General features: G+C 40.2%; 2 annotated features.

Moving 5' to 3' along the window:
* Positions 870–1,164: a silencer, noted in NCBI's record as "tiled region #1362; HepG2 Repressive non-DNase unmatched - State 24:Quies". NCBI's record gives its function as "represses a minimal TATA promoter and a strong SV40 promoter by Sharpr-MPRA in HepG2 cells {active_cell/tissue: HepG2}" and the evidence as "EXISTENCE:reporter gene assay evidence [ECO:0000049][PMID:27701403]".
* Positions 17,515–18,418: an enhancer, noted in NCBI's record as "OCT4-NANOG-H3K27ac-H3K4me1 hESC enhancer chr15:92042895-92043798 (GRCh37/hg19 assembly coordinates)". NCBI's record gives its function as "activates a minimal SCP1, AML or CMV promoter by ChIP-STARR-seq in naive H9 embryonic stem cells {active_cell/tissue: H9 hESC(naive)}" and the evidence as "EXISTENCE:reporter gene assay evidence [ECO:0000049][PMID:30033119]".

The following is a 19,046-nucleotide window of genomic DNA, read 5'->3' as shown; positions in this document are numbered from 1 at the left end:
TTCTCAATCCTCTCGAAGGACTTACGTATGATTGGCACTATGTATTTCATAATTATTTCATCAGACTCACCAGTGACACTGTCTGGAAATCGAGTGTTTGGATTCTCATGGATAGGCAGTAAGAGTGTATTGATTGTGAAATCACAAGAAATAAAAGAGATGCATATATACATACACATATACATATATATATATACATATATATACACACATATATATACACACATTACATTATATATATATATAGACAGAGAGAGAGTGTGTGTGTGTATGTGTGTGTGTGAGAGAGAGAGAGAGAGAGAGACAGAGAGATTGACAGAGACAGAGAGAGAAATTTTGAGGTCTGGTAGGAAGAAACCTAACATGAGTCACTTTGGTAGATATTCACAGCCTGTTAACAGTTCCTTCCCAGAGGAAACCAAGGGCCTTTTACACAGTTGCTATGCACCAAGAAAAGGAACTACAAAGACCTTCTAGGGGCTGTTAGAAATGGATTCTGAACTGCTGCTCATGTTCAGAGACATCAATGATATGGTGTCCACCAGTCAGATAGGGGTTGATAGACATCAGGTGATAGACGGGGTTTTAGCACAATCCTAATGGGACTGAAGACCCAGAACAAATAATGAAAATAGATGTACTTAGCAATGGATGCAACATCCACATTGGTTTTCTGACATGAGGAGTGGGGGCCGTTCTGGTAGGAAGGACGAAACTAGGTCTACCCCTCTTGCTAAAATAGGAAACCAAAAGCAGAAATTCATCCCTGGGGAGAGGCAGAGACTAGATTAGCACAGCTATCAAAGACTTGAGGGATGCACAGGGTTAGGATTCTTACCATGAATGTTTTGATTTGTCTACATTACTGGTATAAAAGCCAGATGGGCTTTAGCAAATGACAGCAGATTATTACAAGCTAATTCAGGTGCTAAGGCTGATCATAGCAACAGTTTCAGATGCGGTGTCTTTACTGAAGGAAATCCACACTTCTCCTGCTACCTGGTGTGCAGTTAATGACTTGACAAGTGCTTTATTCTCCACTCCAAACAAAAGGAGTTTGTATTTATATGGCAGGGACAATTTACCTTTACGGTATTCATGGCTGTGTAAAACTTTACTATATTGTCTCATGGCTGGGTAAGTTCTCTCATTCTCTCTCCCAAGAGGATCCAGAGGAAGCTTTTTCACCCCAATAGCTCACAGAATATGATGATTGTTATATAGATCAAATGATGCTAATTGGATCTGGTGACCAAAAAGTATAAAGCACTCTAGATGCCTCAGCAAAACATGTGAAGCCAGAAGATAGGAAACAGACTTTTAGAAAGTTTAGGGGCCTGCCATAATGATAAAAGTCTATTTCTATATTGACTCTATAGACAACAGTCTATTGATCTATAGAAAGTTGACATTTTCCTCTTAAAGTGAGAAAAGGTGCTGAAACTTGCTCCACCCATGATTACAAAAAAGAACCAATGTGTTGGCTTTTGGAGGTCACATATGCTATCTTTTGTTATGTTTCACTAGATACTCCATAAAATCCTTGTATCAATACCACCATTTGTGGGTTAATATAATGCCTTACCCATTGCCATGGATTGCCACTCCACATCATTTCCATCCAGAAAACATGTTTTTCTTTTTTTTTTTTTTTTTTTTGAGACGAGTCTCGCTCTGTCGCCCAGGCTGGAGTGCAGTGGCGTGATCTTGGCTCACTGCAACGTCTGCCTCCCAGGTTCAAGTGATTCTCCTGCCTCAACCTCCCGAGTAGCTGGGATTATAGGCGCCCACCACCATGCCCAGGTAATTTTTGTATTTTTAGTAGAGATGGGGTTTCACCAGGTTGGCCAGGCTGATCTCAAACTCCTGGCCTCAGGTGATCCACTTGCCTTGGCCTCCCAAAGCGCTGGGATTACAGGCGTGAGCCACCGCACCTTGGCCCAGAAAACATATTTTATAACAAAATAAATGCAGGCATAGGCTCATGCCTACAGGATGCTCTGTCTTATGTGCACTCACACGCAGAAGCAGCTTGCTCAACAGAATAGTGGAATGCCCTGCTGAAGGTTCTGTTATAGTGCTAGCCTGGAGACACCAGCTTTCAAGGTTGGAACGCTGTCCTGCAGAATATGGTATATGCCTTAAACCAATGGCCAATATATGGCACTGTCTCCCCCTACAGCAAAAATGCACATGTTTGCGAATCAAAGGACAGAGGTAGGAGTGAGATCTCATAACTAACTTGAAGAATTTTTGCTTCCTGTTCCTGCAAGCTTGAGCTCAGTGGGTTTGGAAATCCTAGTACCAAAGAAGGGAATGCTTCCACCAGGCAACATGGTGATAGTTGTAATTCACTAAAAAAAAAAAATGCCAAATTGGAGATTTCATGGTACTGAACCATCAGGGAAGAGCACAGTGTACACAGTGGACTTATTAACGGGGAAAACTTGAGCTGCTGCTACTCATCGGAGGTCAGGAAATCTGTATCTATGACTCAGAGTATTCACTGGGGCCCATCCAGCTGAGGCGCTGGCAAGAGAAAGGGGAAATGGAGCAGACAGTAGAAGATGACAAATACATGATCCTCAAGTTAGACCATAAAATCAACAACCAAACTGGGGACTATGGCAGCTATGTTTATTACTTATTTCATTTCCCCATTTTCCTTCACTATCCTGTAGTAGAACCTGATAGTGGCTAATGTTTAAAGTTTCAGGTGAAAGTAAAACTGAGTTTATAGCATCCCTTGATGCTATCGTAGCTGGCAGGACTTCACTTGTCCCCTGTGATGAATACAAAATCTTTTCAGCCAGGTTAAGGCAAGAGTAGATGTTGAAGGAAATGGTGTGAGTAGTGACAGACATATTCCATTTGCCTTCCATCCATGCCCCCACGCCTTGCCACTCTGCTCCCTGCTGACCTGGATGAGCTACTACTTCCATCTTACAGAAACTTCATTGGCCTTTGGTTCCTGATTTGTTTTGGCCACAGGGAGCCCCAGCAGGAGAGAGAAGGATAGAAGAGAACGAGGTAGACTCCCTCCCTGCATAGCTGCTTCTTTCTAGATCCGCCTCTCTACACCACCCTCTCCTTTATACTCCATGGACCAAACCCTCCCCTCATCCCTTTGGGCCAATTGGTGATAACAGCTCCGCTGTTACTAGACACAGTGTACTTCCGTCTTCCTTGTAGCCTCTCCTATTCTAATTTGAGGGCATCGTCTTCCTGCTGGGACCCTGACTGCTAGAGGTCGTTTATCTATATTCTCCTTTCTCCTTCCACCCACATGCCTGCAAAACAATGACTCCAATGATCCTAAATGATTCCCTTCTCCCTTCTTTCTTTTGGAGCACATAGCAAGGAATCTTTTTATTCAGTTTAATTTCTTGTAAGAGAAAGGAGGTACTACTCTATCTTATGCTTTTTGCCCAACAAAATCCTACAGGCAGGGAATTATAAGGGCCTTGCTCTCTACTTAGACGAAGTGGGGAGGGAAGGAAGAATCAATACAAATAAATACCTTAAAAATATATCCTGTTATAAGCTTCCCTGGCTGACAATCTGCCTGCTTCCAACCTGGACATGAATGTTCTGCCCCCACTCAGCGGCCTCATCCACAGCCCATTTGGCAGTAAAAACCGAATCAAAGGAGGGCAGATGCATTTCATTGCTATGTCAGCCCTAATTGATTGGCTCCTGATACATGGTATTGGGAACAATTCTGAGGCCTCATCCCAGCTCAGCAGGAAAGAGTACTGTAATCAATTAGGGATGCCTATCCTGGGAGGTGACCAGAGGTACAGCAGCCAGAGCTATGTGTTTATTATTCCCCATCTAATCTCTCCCTCCATCTCAGCAGCAACCCCTTTCTTGGCTAGTTAACCCTCAGGTGTTCAAGAGGCCATTTCTCTCATAGGGAGAGGTCAAACTGGGTGCTAGGGCAAGAGCTGTAGCTTTCAAATTATAATACCCTTTTCTATGTTAAGAGTGGTTGTTCCGTACAGGTTTCTGCTAATACTGGCTGAATAGACATTGATGGATGATGATTCTGTATCATCTCACAGTCCTGCTATGTCTTCAGAGCTTTCTTCCTTTAGCCTTTTTAAAAATAAATATGCCACCAAAGTTTATGCTAACAGAAGGGTTTCAATATTAAATAATGACTCATTGAAGAATGAAATGGAGATATTTTTTACCCTCCTTTCAGCAATTGTTCTGCATATCTTTCCCCAGGTCCTCAAAGTCAGATTCAAGGACATCTCCATGTTTTGTTGTGTCTACCTCTAGTTCTGGCCCTATTCTTGAAATAAAGAAGGAGCCCACAGCCTCTGCCTGCCAATCACTGAAACTCAGCATTGGCAATCTGGCATATCTTGTTTAACACTGAGCTGCTACGTCGGTTTCTCAACAGACTCACGGCCCTGTGTTTTGGTTGCTGTGATGATGAGCCTTGATTCTTGGGACTGGGTTTCTGCTTCATTCCTTCCACCATCGCTGAGAATGAGGCTTTGAGCTCCTTGCAGGAAGGAGCCTTCCTACTCCTTAAAAATCCTCTCAAGTGATGACTCTCCACTGCAAATCCCCTTCTCCGCAATCTCCTCACCTCCAGCGGGCTCTGCCATATCATTTTTGTAGCCCTCCCCACCCATGGATGGCTGTTAGATGTGCCTTAGCTTTCATTCTTACCTATATTGCTGCCTCTTCTTAGGGTCAGTTCCACTGACCTATGTCTAAATCTGGGTGGGTAAGTCCCATAATTGGCACACACTCTATTCTCCGCCTCTACCTCCACATTGCTGTTGTGGAGTCGTGAAGATGTGCACAACCTGAAACTTCAGAGCAGGATTTGCCTTTAGATGCCAGACAGCTCACATAAATGAGCACCACTGATCAGGTGGGAACTGTGTAAACCAGAGAACAGATGTCCACTGAAAGAGAGGCATACACAGCTCAACCTTTGCCACTGGAAGCCAAAAATCCAGATTATGTGGAGCCTCTCAAATCATTAATACTGTCAACTAATTCACAGGTTTCTTAACAATGTTCTAATCCACATGGCATTGGTTTGTGAGTTCTACTCTATAGCGAAAAGGTGAAAGGTAATTTTCTAGTAATAACAACTAATGTTCATCTTCCTACATTCCAGCTTACCAATTCTTTCAAATGACTTGAGCAGTTTGCACATAGTGGAGAGCTCATCAAGAATTTCTCTATATATGAAGGAGAACATATTTGGAAAAAAAGTTTTTCTTGGCTGGATAGCATTAAACATTAATTCAAAATAAAACTATTTCAAGCCACATTTATTCCCTAAGAAATGAGATGAAAAGAAACCAAATGAATCAGCCAGATGATTCCAGCTCTTTAATCACCAGCATCACTATTGCTAATTGAATCTTCAATGCATATTGGCTTCACTCCCTGAGGTGCACTAAAACAAATATTTAACACTTGTCTCCTTAAGATGAAATACTTCACACGGATGAAATATTTCACGTTTGAAATTAAAAGTACCCATAAAATTGCAGCAAAGGCAGACTATGGCATCTAAATAGAGGACTGCAACCTTGTAGTGGAGAAAATAACATTATTCATTGGATCATTGAGGATCAGAACCAGAAGCGTTCTTATGACTACCGGTTTCCCAATGAAATTTACAAAGCCTAGCTGTCAGTGTTCTTAACCAACATAATGAAGGTAATACCTACGCATTACCTTGAACCTATCTCTTGCTGCTTTTATTATGGAATCAGATTTTTGATGCTGATTGGGTTGTAACGGTCAACTGTTTTGACCAGATGTCAAAATAACCAGATGTTCCCGTTAATTGGTTGGCAATTGACCTGAATTTTTTGATGTAGTTGATTCATTGTTGCATTTTGATTTGGTTTCCAAGGTAGAGAGTTGACAGTGAGTGAAATATTCAGCATTTGTGAAAAGTGTCCCTGGGCCCTTTCCAGCTATAGAGTCTTAAATTTCATCTTTTCATATTCATAGAAGAAAAGAGTGTGGAAAAGCTAAGTTCGGGCACAAAATAAGCCAAATTGTAGTGAGCTAATTCCCTTGCGAAGTACGCCTGTAAATGAATATTAATCAGAACAGGAAGTGACTGTGAAAAAGCAAGGATCCATCTTTAAAGTTCAGCTGAACTCTTTAAAACAACATTTTATTCAAAAATGTAACTAAGAACATATCGCATATATATACATACACATAAATTAACTTTAGAAGACACATTTTGCCTCACTGTACTGCAATTATATGTTGTATTGTCTGTGATTAAAACAGGTCCTATAATATAACAAAAATGTTTTCAAAATTATATTTCAAGAAATAAATGTTGCCCCATTGTAATAACAGATTTGTGCAGTATTGGTCCTGGTTGAAACAAACCTAAATTTAACATTTTTTCAAAGGGAAAAATTAAAGACAAATTTTAATAATATTAAAATGTGGGAAAACGTTAAAGCTATAAAAATATAATGACCACTAGGGAGATGTAGAGACCCAGTGAAGATGTCACTTGTTTTAAAAAAATTAAAAATAAAGTGAAGCATGGTTTGATGTTTTACTCTTGCTTTTTCTTTTTGATTTCTGGTTTATTCATTCCAAACATTATTAATTCCCAAAAAAACACCTGCCTGCTTTTCTAAGGGTGATCCAGAGTTCAACAGCATTGATATTCCACTCAGAGCTTGTTAGAAATGCTGACACCACCCCGCCAAAGCCCCCCCAACTCTGCCCCAACAGCTGAATCGGAATCTGATTTTACATCTTCAGGTGATGTGTATGCACATTAAACTTTGAGAAGCACTATTCTACAGGGCACTAAAACAAAAATTAAAAGTAAGAGTGATTCCTGACCTTGAATAAGTCATAGTAGATCAAGTGAACAGGTAATTATGGAACAAGTATCAAAGTACGTACAAAGCACTTTGGGGACACAGAGGAGAAAGTGTGTACTTTAATGGAGGCAATGATTTAAAAGGTAGAGAAATCAGAGTTGGATCTTGAAGACCAAGTAGAGTGAAAAGCATTCCCAGCAGAGAGGGCATGTGACAGGTTAGGGAATGGCAGCCCTTTTCATAGAGTGGACTGGTAATAATTTGAACCAAGAGGCTGTGATGGGCGAGTAAGGCAGGATAGCAACCATTGCAGAGACCTGGCAATGGAATATGAACTTTGTCCTTGGAACAATGAGGAGAAATCAGAGTTTTGAAGAAGGGGCTTGACTTTATCACAATTCTCTTTCAGAAACGTGTGCAGTGTATGCAGGCCACAAAAGATGAGGAAGCTACCAGTGAGTACGCTGTTGCCAGGCGTGTATTTAGGAGCTAGGAAGGATTTAAAAGACCAGTGGAGGACAGGATTGATTGGGTGTGATTTTTGACCCCTGAGGTCCATTTAACCAGGGTATCTTTAATACCTATAGAACTCTGAAGTGATGGATATTCAATAAATGGCTTTAGAGTTTTTACATCCTCCAAATACTCACAAAGAAATTCATTTATGCCATGTGTACACACTGCCTCGAAGGAAGTTTTACAGTCTTTCTCAAATAAATTCAGAGTCAATTTTTACCAGTTTTATAAGAGGATTATATTTTTCACAAAGATCATCCCCATTATTTCTTGGTTCAGTTCCATTACATTCAACGCACATGAGCTGAATCAGACGATTCTCCTCTAGGTGTTTTTTCTTTATCACCAGGCAGGATCTAGCCCATTTAGCAAGAAGCAAAAGAGAACCAAACACCATTGTATTCCAACAATAAAAAGGACATCAGAGTCCATCCATATAGAAACAAAGTAAGCAACAAAAATGAGCAACAAAAAGTTTTAAATAAGGCTAATTCTCACTGGCTTAGACTTTCTATCCTAGAAAGATTAAGTAATTAATCAGTAAGTCAGCATACCTTTATTGAGGTTGCCTATGTGGCCTTTGCACAGTCATAGATATTGATAGAAAAAGAAGTAAAGATGCTATTCTATAATAAAGTATGGATTATAGACACGTGTATATAACCACTCTTGGAAGTAAAGATTCAGGCTCTGGAACCAGACTAGGTTCAAATTCTTACTGACTCTGTGACCTTTGGCAAATTATTTAAACTTTCTAAATCTCAAGTTCTTTACCTAAGGTTATTACCTGTAAATAATAATAGTAGCCTATCTCACAGGTTGTTTTAACTATTAAATGATGTAAAACACGTGAAACTCTTAGGATGGTGCTTGACCTACAACAAGAGCTCGGTCAATGTTAGCTTTTACGATCCTTATTAGGATACCCACTGAGACCATAGGGGAAGACCTGCCAATTCCAACAGAAAGGTTAGAGAGTGGCATTTGAACCAAGCCTTGAAAGTTAACCAGACAGTCTTCCAGAGAACAAAGTAAGAGGAAGAAGGCGAGTGGGAAGAAGCAGCAGCAATGTAAGCAACAGCTGGGAGGTGTGTTTTAGGACATTATGTGTTGAATGGTCTAGGAATATAGGGGAGAACTGCAACAGTCCAAGGGGATAAGGGTGAGGGGCTTAGCTAGGGCCAATGAACAGGGAATGAAGACGAGGGAATGTACTGTAAAGAACAGTAAAGTCACAGGTCTTGTGCACCCTAGCTATGGTGGGTAAGGTCAGTGGAGGCCTCATGGCGACTCCCTCTCAAATTTCCCACGTGGGTAGGTGGGGATCCTGTTAACTAAGACTGGGAATACAGAAGGAGGCAGATTTCAAGACATGACGGTAAATTTAGTTTTAGTCGTAGTGATTTTAGGACCATGTGAGACATTCAGATGGAAATGACCAACAGCAGTCGTATGAAGTGGTGGCACATCATATGGGCTCAGTGAACATTTGCTAAATAAACCATAGCACACGAGAGAACGATCTAAGCTGGAGACAGACTTCATCTCAACAATGTAAATGCATGCACAGATTATTTTTATTGTTTTACAAGTATCTGTGAACATTCTTTAAAACAATAACTCATTGATTTTTCAAAATAAAAATAACTATTGTTTTTGCTAATTATAAAAGCAATATATACCTATTGTATACATATTCGACAGTAAATTAAAGAACAGTGAGAAAATATGAGAAAATACAGTAAATTTTGAAGAACAATGAGAAAAATCACCAGTAACCCAATCCCATTACCATTATGACTCATATTCTGTTTTATAACTTTTCAGACTTTTATGATGAAATTTACATACACACATTTTTATAAGATTTAGTCATAGTATCTATAATGTTTTGTACCCTGACTTTTCTATTAGCAACTTAGAGATAACTATCTATGACTCTATAAATAAATATGACTGTTTCAGCAGCTGCCTTGTATATCACTGTACATATGTCCCATAATTGCACCCATATCCCATTTTACAGATACCCCGTAAAAAGGGAGTCCCCTCTTTCTTGATATTACAACCAATACAGCGAGACCCTTGGAAATATATAATGATTCACATGTCTGGCTGTTTCCTTAGGATAATGTCCTAGGGTAAATTCCTAGAAATGAAATTTCTGGTTTAAAGGAAATGCTCACTTAAAATCGGACAGCATGCCAAATTGTCGTCCAAAAGTATTTACTAATTTACCTTACCAAAAACAATACAAAAGAATCCCAGTCCTCAGCCCTAGTCTGTCACTATCATCAACGTCAGCTTTGAAACATCAGTTTTTAGTAAGGAAGTTTAGCATACTTATCATTTCTGTGTGCTGTGAACATTTAAAATTCACTCTTTCAGCAATTTTGAAATATACTATACATTATTAACTATAGTCAACATGTCGTGCAATCAACCACCAGAACTTATTTCTCGTAACTGAAGTGTTGAATATTTTGATCAACATCTCCCCTGTTCCCATCCACCCCTTTCAGCTTCCAGTTCCCATCCTACTCTCTGTTTCTGAGTTTGACTATTTTAGATTCCACAACAAAGTGAGATGGTGCAGTATTTATCTTCCTGTGTCTGGATTGCTTCACTTAATTAATGTCTTCCAGTTTCATCTATGTTCTACAATGTATACATGTTTCAAAACATCACATTGCACCCCATAAATATAATTATTATTTGATTAAAAATAAAATTTAAAGAAAGAGAAAAAACAGGTAAGCTAAGGCCTGATCTTAAAGAGACTTGTAATTCTGGAGAAAGATTCAGACATGGGTGGTGACTGGAGGAGTACTTGCCTTCCAGGCGGTATTTGAAGCATGGGGGTGAGTTAGATTGTCCAGGGTGAATGTGTAGCGTGAGAAGGAAAGTGCACCTAGGACTAACCTCTGAGAAATCCTTCAATAAAAGGGACCGATAAAGAAAGAGGAGCCAGTGAAAAGGATTAGGAGAAATTAGTCAAAGGAGAGACAGCAGGGGACAGGGACATAAGTGCTCTAGCTAAGGCAAGAGGTCTGTGTCTTCAACAGGTTGCTGTCACCGACTCCAGAGTTGAATTCAAGTCCATGATTCCTCTAAGACCTCTGTTGACCTCATTAACCAGAGTCAGAGAGAGTCATGGAAAATTAACACTATATACTAGACATTTTCAGAGACGTGAGAATATTAGTTTATCTTTCAAGTTAGGTACCCCAGAACAATCTGAGCTCTGTGGAATTCCTATTAGTGGTTCTAGATAAGACACCAAGAGATTGAAAAGCACACAGTTAAAAAGCATGATCTCACATCATCAAATAAAAAACTCAAAATTATTCCATTAAAGTATGACTGAAGATGCAGATGTAGATATTATAGAGACAATTGCTAAAACATGACCAAGAAATGCAACAAAAAGTAACTTCCAAAGAAAGAAAAAATTGTTCCTCACCTATACACTTTTCAATATCTGGCATGGGTAAGGCTTCTGCTTAAGTGGAAAAGAATGTTTTAAGAATCAGGTGAGCCTGGCTTTTAAAAAAATTTTTCACTAAATCCGAGACTTGAAAATCACTGCAAGTTAACCTTCCTAGCCTCCAAAACAAAATAAGCTCCTTAAAAAATATGATATATAATGTGGGATTGCAAGAGCAATGTGAATATAGCATGAAGAGATTTAAACATTTTAAAAGAGGTTTTTTCCCTCAAGTGTGAGCAAAGCTCTTTTTGGCTTAATATTTTTAGCAAAAAGAAGTCTTGTGTTCAGAAATTCTCACAAAGTATATAGGTAACTGCTAGATTCTTAGACTAGTAATAACAATTTCTTAATAAGTAGTGTCATAGTTTTAACATTACTATAAATTGGAGGATTTTTCTATAATTTTCAAAGTAAAGAAATCAGGCCTGTCTTCTGTAAATATTCCCTCCCTGGTGAATATTTTCCTTCTTTCTCAGTTATTTATCTGAAAAATTTTCCCCTATGCTAGTGGACACTTAAAGGAGGAAATATGAAAAAAATTTAATTTTTTCTTTTTTTTTTGTTCATATGACAATTTATTTATTTATTTATTATTATTATACTTTAAGTTTTAGGGTACATGTGCACATTGTGCAGGTTAGTTACCTATGTATACATGTGCCATGCTGGTGCGCTGCACCCACTAACTCGTCATCTAGCATTAGGTATATCTCCCAATGCTATCCCTCCCCCCTCCCCCAACCCCACAACAGTCCCCAGAATGTGATATTCCCCTTCCTCTGTCCAAGTGATCTCATTGTTCAATTCCCACCTATGAGTGAGAATATGCGGTGTTTGGTTTTTTGTTCTTGTGATAGTTTACTGAGAATGATGATTTCCAATTTCATCCATGTCCCTACAAAGGACATGAACTCATCATTTTTTATGGCTGCATAGTATTCCATGGTGTATATGTGCCACATTTTCTTAATCCAGTCTATCATTGTTGGACATTTGGGTTGGTTCCAAGTCTTTGCTATTGTGAATAATGCTGCAATAAACATATATGTGCATGTGTATTTATAGCAGCATGATTTATAGTTCTTTGGGTATATACCCAGTAATGGGATGGCTGGGTCAAATGGTATTTCCAGTTCTAGATCCCTGAGGAATCGCCACACTGACTTCCACAATGGTTGAACTAGTTTACAGTCCCACCAACAGTGTAAAAGTGTTTCTATTTCTCCACATCCTCTCCAGCACCTGTTGTTTCCTGACTTTTTAATAATTGCCATTCTAACTGGTGTGAGATGGTATCTCATTGTGGTTTTGATTTGCATTTCTCTGATGGCCAGTGATGGTGAGCATTTTTTCATGTGTTTTTTGGCTGCATAAATGTCTTCTTTTGAGAAGTGTCTGTTCATGTCCTTCACCCACTTTTTGACGGGGTTGTTTGTTTTTTTCTTGTAAATTTGTTTGAGTTCATTGTAGATTCTGGATATTAACCCTTTGTCAGATGAGTAGGTTGCGAAAATTTTCTCCCATTTTGTAGGTTGCCTGTTCACTCTGATGGTAGTTTCTTTTGCTGTGCAGAAGCTCTTTAGTTTAATTAGATCCCATTTGTCAATGTTGTCTTTTGTTGCCATTGCTTTTGGTGTTTTAGACATGAAGCCCTTGCCCATGCCTATGTCCTGAATGGTATTGCCTAGGTTTTCTTCTAGGGTTTTTATGGTTTTAGGTCTAACGTTTAAGTCTTTAATCCATCTTGAATTGATTTTTGTGTAAGGTGTAAGGATGGGATCCAGTTTCAGCTTTCTACATATGGCTAGCCAGTTTTCCCAGCACCATTTATTAAATAGGGAATCCTTTCCCCATTGTTTGTTTTTCTCAGGTTTGTCAAAGATCAGATAGTTGTAGATATGCAGCATTATTTCTGAGGGCTCTGTCCTGTTCCACTGATCTATATCTGTGTTTTGGTACCAGTACCATGCTGTTTTGGTTACTGTAGCCTTGTAGTATAGTTTGAAGTCAAGTAGTGTGATGTCTCCAGCTTTGTTCTTTTGGCTTAGGATTGACTTGGCGATGCGGGCTCTTTTTTGGTTTCATGTGAACTTTAAAGTAGTTTTTTCCAATTCTGTGAAGAAAGGCATTGGTAGCTTGATGGGGATGGCATTGAATCTGTAAATTACCTTGGGCAGTATGGCCATTTTCACGATATTGATTCTTCCTACCCATGAACATGGAATGTTCTTCCATTTGTTTGTATCCTCTTTTATTTCCTTGAGCAGTGGTTTGTAGTTCTCCTTGAAGAGGTCCTTCACATCCCTTGTAAGTTGGATTCCTAGGTATTTTATTCTCTTTGAAGCAATTGTGAATGGGAGTTCACTCATGATTTGGCTCTCTGTTTGTCTGTTGTTGGTGTATAAGAATGCTTGTGATTTTTGTACATTGATTTTGTATCCTGAGACTTTGCTGAAGTTGCTTATCAGCTTAAGGAGATTTTGGGCTGAGACGATGGGGTTTTCTAGATATACAATCATGTCGTCTGCAAACAGGGACAATTTGACTTCCTCTTTTCCTAACTGAATACCCTTTATTTCCTTCTCCTGCCTAGTTGCCCTGGCCAGAACTTCCAACACTATGTTGTATAGGAGTGATGAGAGGGCATCCCTGTCTTGTGCCAGTTTTCAAAGGGAATGCTTCCAGTTTTTGCCCATTCAGTATGATATTGGCTGTGGGTTTGTCATAGATAGCTCTTATAATTTTGAAATACGTCCCATCAATACCTAATTTATTGAGAGTTTTTAGCATGAAGGGTTGTTGAATTTTGTCAAAGGCCTTTTCTGCATCTATTGAGATAATCATGTGGTTTTTGTCTTTGGTTCTGTTTATATGCTGGATTACATTTATTGATTTGCGTATATTGAACCAGGCTTGCAACCCAGGGATGAAGCCCACTCGATCATGGTGGATAAGCTTTTTGATGTGCTGCTGGATTCGGTTTGCCAGTACTTTATTGAGGATTTTTGCGTCAATATTCATCAAGGATATTGGTCTAAAATTCTCTTTTTTTTGTTGTGTCTCTGCCTGGCTTTGGTATCAGAATGATGCTGGCCTCATAAAATGAGTTAGGGAGGATTCCCTCTTTTTCTATTGATTGGAATAGTTTCAGAAGGAATGGTACCAGTTCCTCCTTGTACCTCTGGTAGAATTCGGCTGTGAATCCATCTGGTCCTGGACTCTTTTTGGTTGGTAAGCTATTGATTATTGCCACAATTTCAGATCCTGTTATTGGTCTATTCTGAGATTCAACTTCTTCCTGGTTTAGTCTCGGGAGAGTGTATGTGTCGAGGAATTTATCCATTTCTTCTAGATTTTCTAGTTTATTTGCGTAGAGGTGTTTGTAGTATTCTCTGATGGTAGTTTGTATTTCTGTGGGATCGGTGGTGATATCCCCTTTATCATTTTTTATTGTGTCTATTTGATTCTTCTCTCTTTTTTTCTTTATTAGTCTTGCTAGCAGTCTATCAATTTTGTTGATCCTTTCAAAAAACCAGCTCCTGGATTCATTAATTTTTGAAGGGTTTTTTGTGTCTCTATTTCCTTCAGTTCTGCTCTGATTTTAGTTATTTCTTGCCTTCTGCTAGCTTTTGAATGTGTTTGCTCTTGCTTTTGTAGTTCTTTTAATTGTGATGTTAGGGTGTCAGTTTTGGATCTTTCCTGCTTTCTCTTGTGGGCATTTAGTGCTATAAATTTCCCTCTACACATTGCTTTGAATGTGTCCCAGAGATTCTGGTATGTTGTGTCTTTGTTCTTGTTGGTTTCAAAGAACATCTTTATTTCTGCCTTCATTTCATTATTTACCCAGTAGTCATTCAGGAGCAGGTTGTTCAGTTTCCATGTAGCTGAGCAGTTTTGAGTGAGATTCTTAATCCTGAGTTCTAGTTTGATTGCACTGTGGTCTGAGAGATAGTTTGTTATAATTTCTGTTCTTTTACATTTGCTGAGGAGAGCTTTACTTCCAAGTAGGTGGTCAATTTTGGAATAGGTGTGGTGTGGTGCTGAAAACAATGTATATTCTGTTGATTTGGGGTGGAGAGTTCTGTGGATGTCTATTAGGTCCGTTTGGTGCAGAGCTGAGTTCAATTCCTGGGTATCCTTGTTGACTTTCTGTCTCGTTGATCTGTCTAATGTTGACAGTGGGGTGTTACAAGTCTCCCATTATTAATGTGTGGGAGTCTAAGTCTCTTTGTAGGTCACTCAGGACTTGCTTTATGAATCTTGGTGCTCCTGTATTGCGTGCATATATATTTAGGACAGTTAGCTCTTCTTGTTGAATTGATCCCTTTACCATTATATAATGGCCTTCTTTGTCTCTTTTGATCTTTGTTGGTTTAAAGTCTGTTTTATCAGAGACTAGGATTGCAACCCATCTTTTTTTGTTTTCCATTTGCTTGGTAGATCTTCCTCCATCCTTTTATTTTGAGCCTATGTGTGTCTCTGCCCGTGAGATGGGTTTCCTGAATACAGCACACTGATGGGTCTTGACTCTGTATCCAATTTGCCAGTCTGTGTCTTTTAATTGGAGCATTTAGCCCATTTACATTTAAGGTTAATATTGTTATGTGTGAATTTGATCCTGTCATTATGATGTTAGCTGGTTATTTTGCTCGTTAGTTGATGCAGTTTCTTCCTAGTCTCGATGGTCTTTACATTTTGGCATGATTTTGCAGCAGCTGGTACCAGTTGTTCCTTTCCATATTTAGCGCTTCCTTCAGGAGCTCTTTTAGGGCAGGCCTGGTGGTGACAAAATCTCTCAGCATTTGCTTGTCTGTAAAGTATTTTATTTTTCCTTCGCTTATGAAGCTTAGTTTGGCTGGATATGAAATTCTGGGTTGAAAATTCTTTTCTTTAAGAATGTTGAATATTGGCCCCCACTCTCTTCTGGCTTGTAGGGTTTCTGCCGAGAGATCCGCTGTTAGTCTGATGGGCTTCTCTTTGAGGGTAACCCGACCTTTCTCTCTGGCTGCCCTTAACATTTTTTCCTTCATTTCAACTTTGTTGAATCTGACAATTATGTGTCTTGGAGTTGCTCTTCTCGAGGAGTATCTTTGTGGCATTCTCTGTATTTCCTGAATCTGAACGTTGGCCTGCCTTGCTAGATTGGGGAAGTTCTCCTGGATAATATCCTGCAGCATGTTTTCCAACTTGGTTCCATTCTCCCCATCACTTTCAGGAACACCAGTCAGAAGTAGATTTGGTCTTTTCACATAGTCCCATATTTCTTGGAGGCTTTGCTCATTTCTTTTTATTCTTTTTTCTCTAAACTTTCCTTCTTGCTTCATTTCATTCATTTCATCTTCCATTGCTGATACCCTTTCTTCCAGTTGATCGCATCGGCTCCTGAGGCTTCTGCATTCTTCACGTAGTTCTTGAGCCTTGGTTTTCAGCTCCATCAGCTCCTTTAAGCACTTCTCTGTATTGGTTATTCTAGTTATACATTCTTCTAAATTTTTTTCAAAGTTTTCAACTTCTTTGCCTTTGGTTTGACTGTCCTCCTGTAACTCAGAGTAATTTGATCATCTGAAGCCTTCTTCTCTCAGCTCGTCAAAGTCATTCTCCATCCAGCTTTGTTCTGTTGCTGGTGAGGAACTGCGTTCCTTTGGAGGAGGAGAGGCGCTCTGCTTTTTAGAGTTGCCAGTTTTTCTGTTCTGTTTTTTCCCCATCTTTGTGGTTTTATCTACTTTTGGTCTTTGATGATGGTGATGTACAGATGGGTTTTTGGTGTGGATGTCCTTTCTGTTTGTTAGTTTTCCTTCTAACAGACAGGACCCTCAGCTGCAGGTCTGTTGGAGTACCCTGCCATGTGAGGTGTCAGTGTGCCCCTGCTGGGGGGGTGCCTCCCAGTTAAGCTGCTCGGGGGTCAGGGGTCAGGGACCCACTTGAGGAGGCAGTCTGCCGGTTCTCAGATCTCCAGCTGCGTGCTGGGAGAACCACTGCTCTCTTCAAAGCTGTCAGACAGGGACATTTAAGTCTGCAGAGGTTACTGCTGTCTTTTTGTTTGTCTGTGCCCTGCCCCCAGAGGTGGAGCCTACAGAGGCAGGCAGGTCTCCTTGAGCTGTGGTGGGCTCCACGCAGTTGGAGCTTCCCGACTGCTTTGTTTACCTAAGCAAGCCTGGGCAATGGCGGGCGCCCCTCCCCCAGCCTCGCTGCCGCCTTGCAGTTTGATCTCAGACTGCTGTGCTAGCAATCAGCCAGACTCCGTGGGCGCAGGACCCTCCGAGCCAGGTGCGGGATATAATCTCGTGATGCACCATTTTTTAAGCCTGTCGGAAAAGCACAGTATTTGGGTGGGAGTGACCCGATTTTCCAGGTGCTGTCCGTCACCCCTTTCTTTGACTTGGAAAGGGAACTCCCTGACCCCTTGCGCTTCCCAAGTGAGGCAATGCCTCGCCCTGCTTCGGCTCGCACAAGGTGCGGGCACCCACTGACCTGCGCCCACTGTCTGGCACTCCCTAGTGAGATGAACCCGGTACCTCAGATGGAAATGCAGAAATCACCCGTCTTCTGCGTCGCTCACGCTGGGACAATTTTTTTTTTTTTCTTTCGAGACACTCTCGCACTGTCGCCTGGGCTGGAGTGCAGTGGTCTGATCTCTGCTCACTGCAACCTCCACCTCCTAGGTTCAAGCAATTCTCCTGCCTCAGCCTCCCAAGTAGCTGGGATTACAGGCGCCTGCCACCACACTCAGCTAATTTTTTGCATTTTTAGTAGAGACGGAGTTTCACTATGTTGGCCAGGCTGGCCTCAAACTCCTGACCTTGTGATCCATCCACCTCGGCCTCCCAAAGTGCTGGGATTACAGGCATGAGCCACCACACCCGGCCAAAAATTTTAATTCTTATAAGTTCAAGAAAAATAGAATTAATGCATATGTGGGCCTTAGAAAATATACTCCAAAAGTTTGGCTCTTTGGGATGCCAAGCCCTTTGAACTAAAATAGGAAGGCTTCAGAAAGACTCCTGAGAACAAAGGTCTCTCTCAGGCCTTTTCTTGCCCATGCCCCCACCTCCCGGCCCCGTGTCTCTGATCTGCTTTCTTTCCTCAAGCGCAGGGAGGGACTCTTGGGAATTTTCTGACTATGGAAACTTCTTTCCAAAAGAAATGCAGTTGTCCTAAGAATCTCATCAAATAACCAGGAAAGATTAACCAGTGGAGAAAAGAGGAGACTAAAAGTCTTCACCGCACCCAGATAGGCTTTTCACCTATTCCTCTGAGAGCAACTCAGAGAGACTGCCTGGGAGGCTTTATCTGCATAATGAAACAACCATTGTTCACAGTGAAGTTTTGCTCCTCACCTTGCCCAGAGCTCAGAGGAAATTTGTCCCAGACTATTGTTCTTTGGGCTCATTCATTTGCCCTAAAAATCATTCACTATTTATCTAAAATTACCTACATCCCCCAACTTTCCTCTCCCCTACTAAGAGAGGACTTAAGCCTCAACCTTCTAGCCATTCTTTGAGAGTCATATTTTGGGGAATCCCACATCCATATCCCTGTTAATAATTTGTGTGCCTTTTTATTCTATTAATCTGTCTATTGTCAGTCATTTCAGCAAACTTCAGTAGGTGAAGAGGAAGCTTTTCCTCAACCTCTGCACATGTTTTAGATTGCCCATATATGAAAATCAGCTATCATTACTGTTTTACAACCCTTGACACAGTCAAGTTACGTTGTTAAGACAACAGAAAAATGTTCTCAAATGTGTAAGGGCTTAGAACACACAAACATACAGACAATACATTCTCTAGGAGTATCATCCTGGAAAAAAAAAACAACTTATTTTGAGGCACTGTAAATCTGATTGGAAGATTAATCTAAATTAGGAGCACAAAATTTTATAGTCTAGTGGAAAAGGATTGGTAGTTAGCATCATAACAAATTTAAATAACTCTAAATCATATAATTACAAATATGACTACAAAATGAAGCCAACAGAAATATTCATGAAAGATAAAGCATATAACATGAACATTATAATGTCATAATGATCACCTGGGTCCCAAATTCCCAAATGGCCTTAGATGAAAATTCTAATCCCTCAAAGAAGCCAGAGAGCAACTAGCCCTTTCCTCTGGGGCCCACAACTATGAGATATTTCCCAATTCTCCAGGCCACGGGATAGTGTTCAACAAAGAAAATCACTACAGAGATAT

Source organism: Homo sapiens, chromosome 15 (assembly GCF_000001405.40).
Source record: "Homo sapiens chromosome 15, GRCh38.p14 Primary Assembly".
Taxonomy (NCBI): Eukaryota; Metazoa; Chordata; class Mammalia; order Primates; family Hominidae; genus Homo; species Homo sapiens.
The sequence above is the reverse complement of the archived record's forward strand: the minus strand, read 5'-3'. Positions and strand labels throughout refer to the sequence as shown.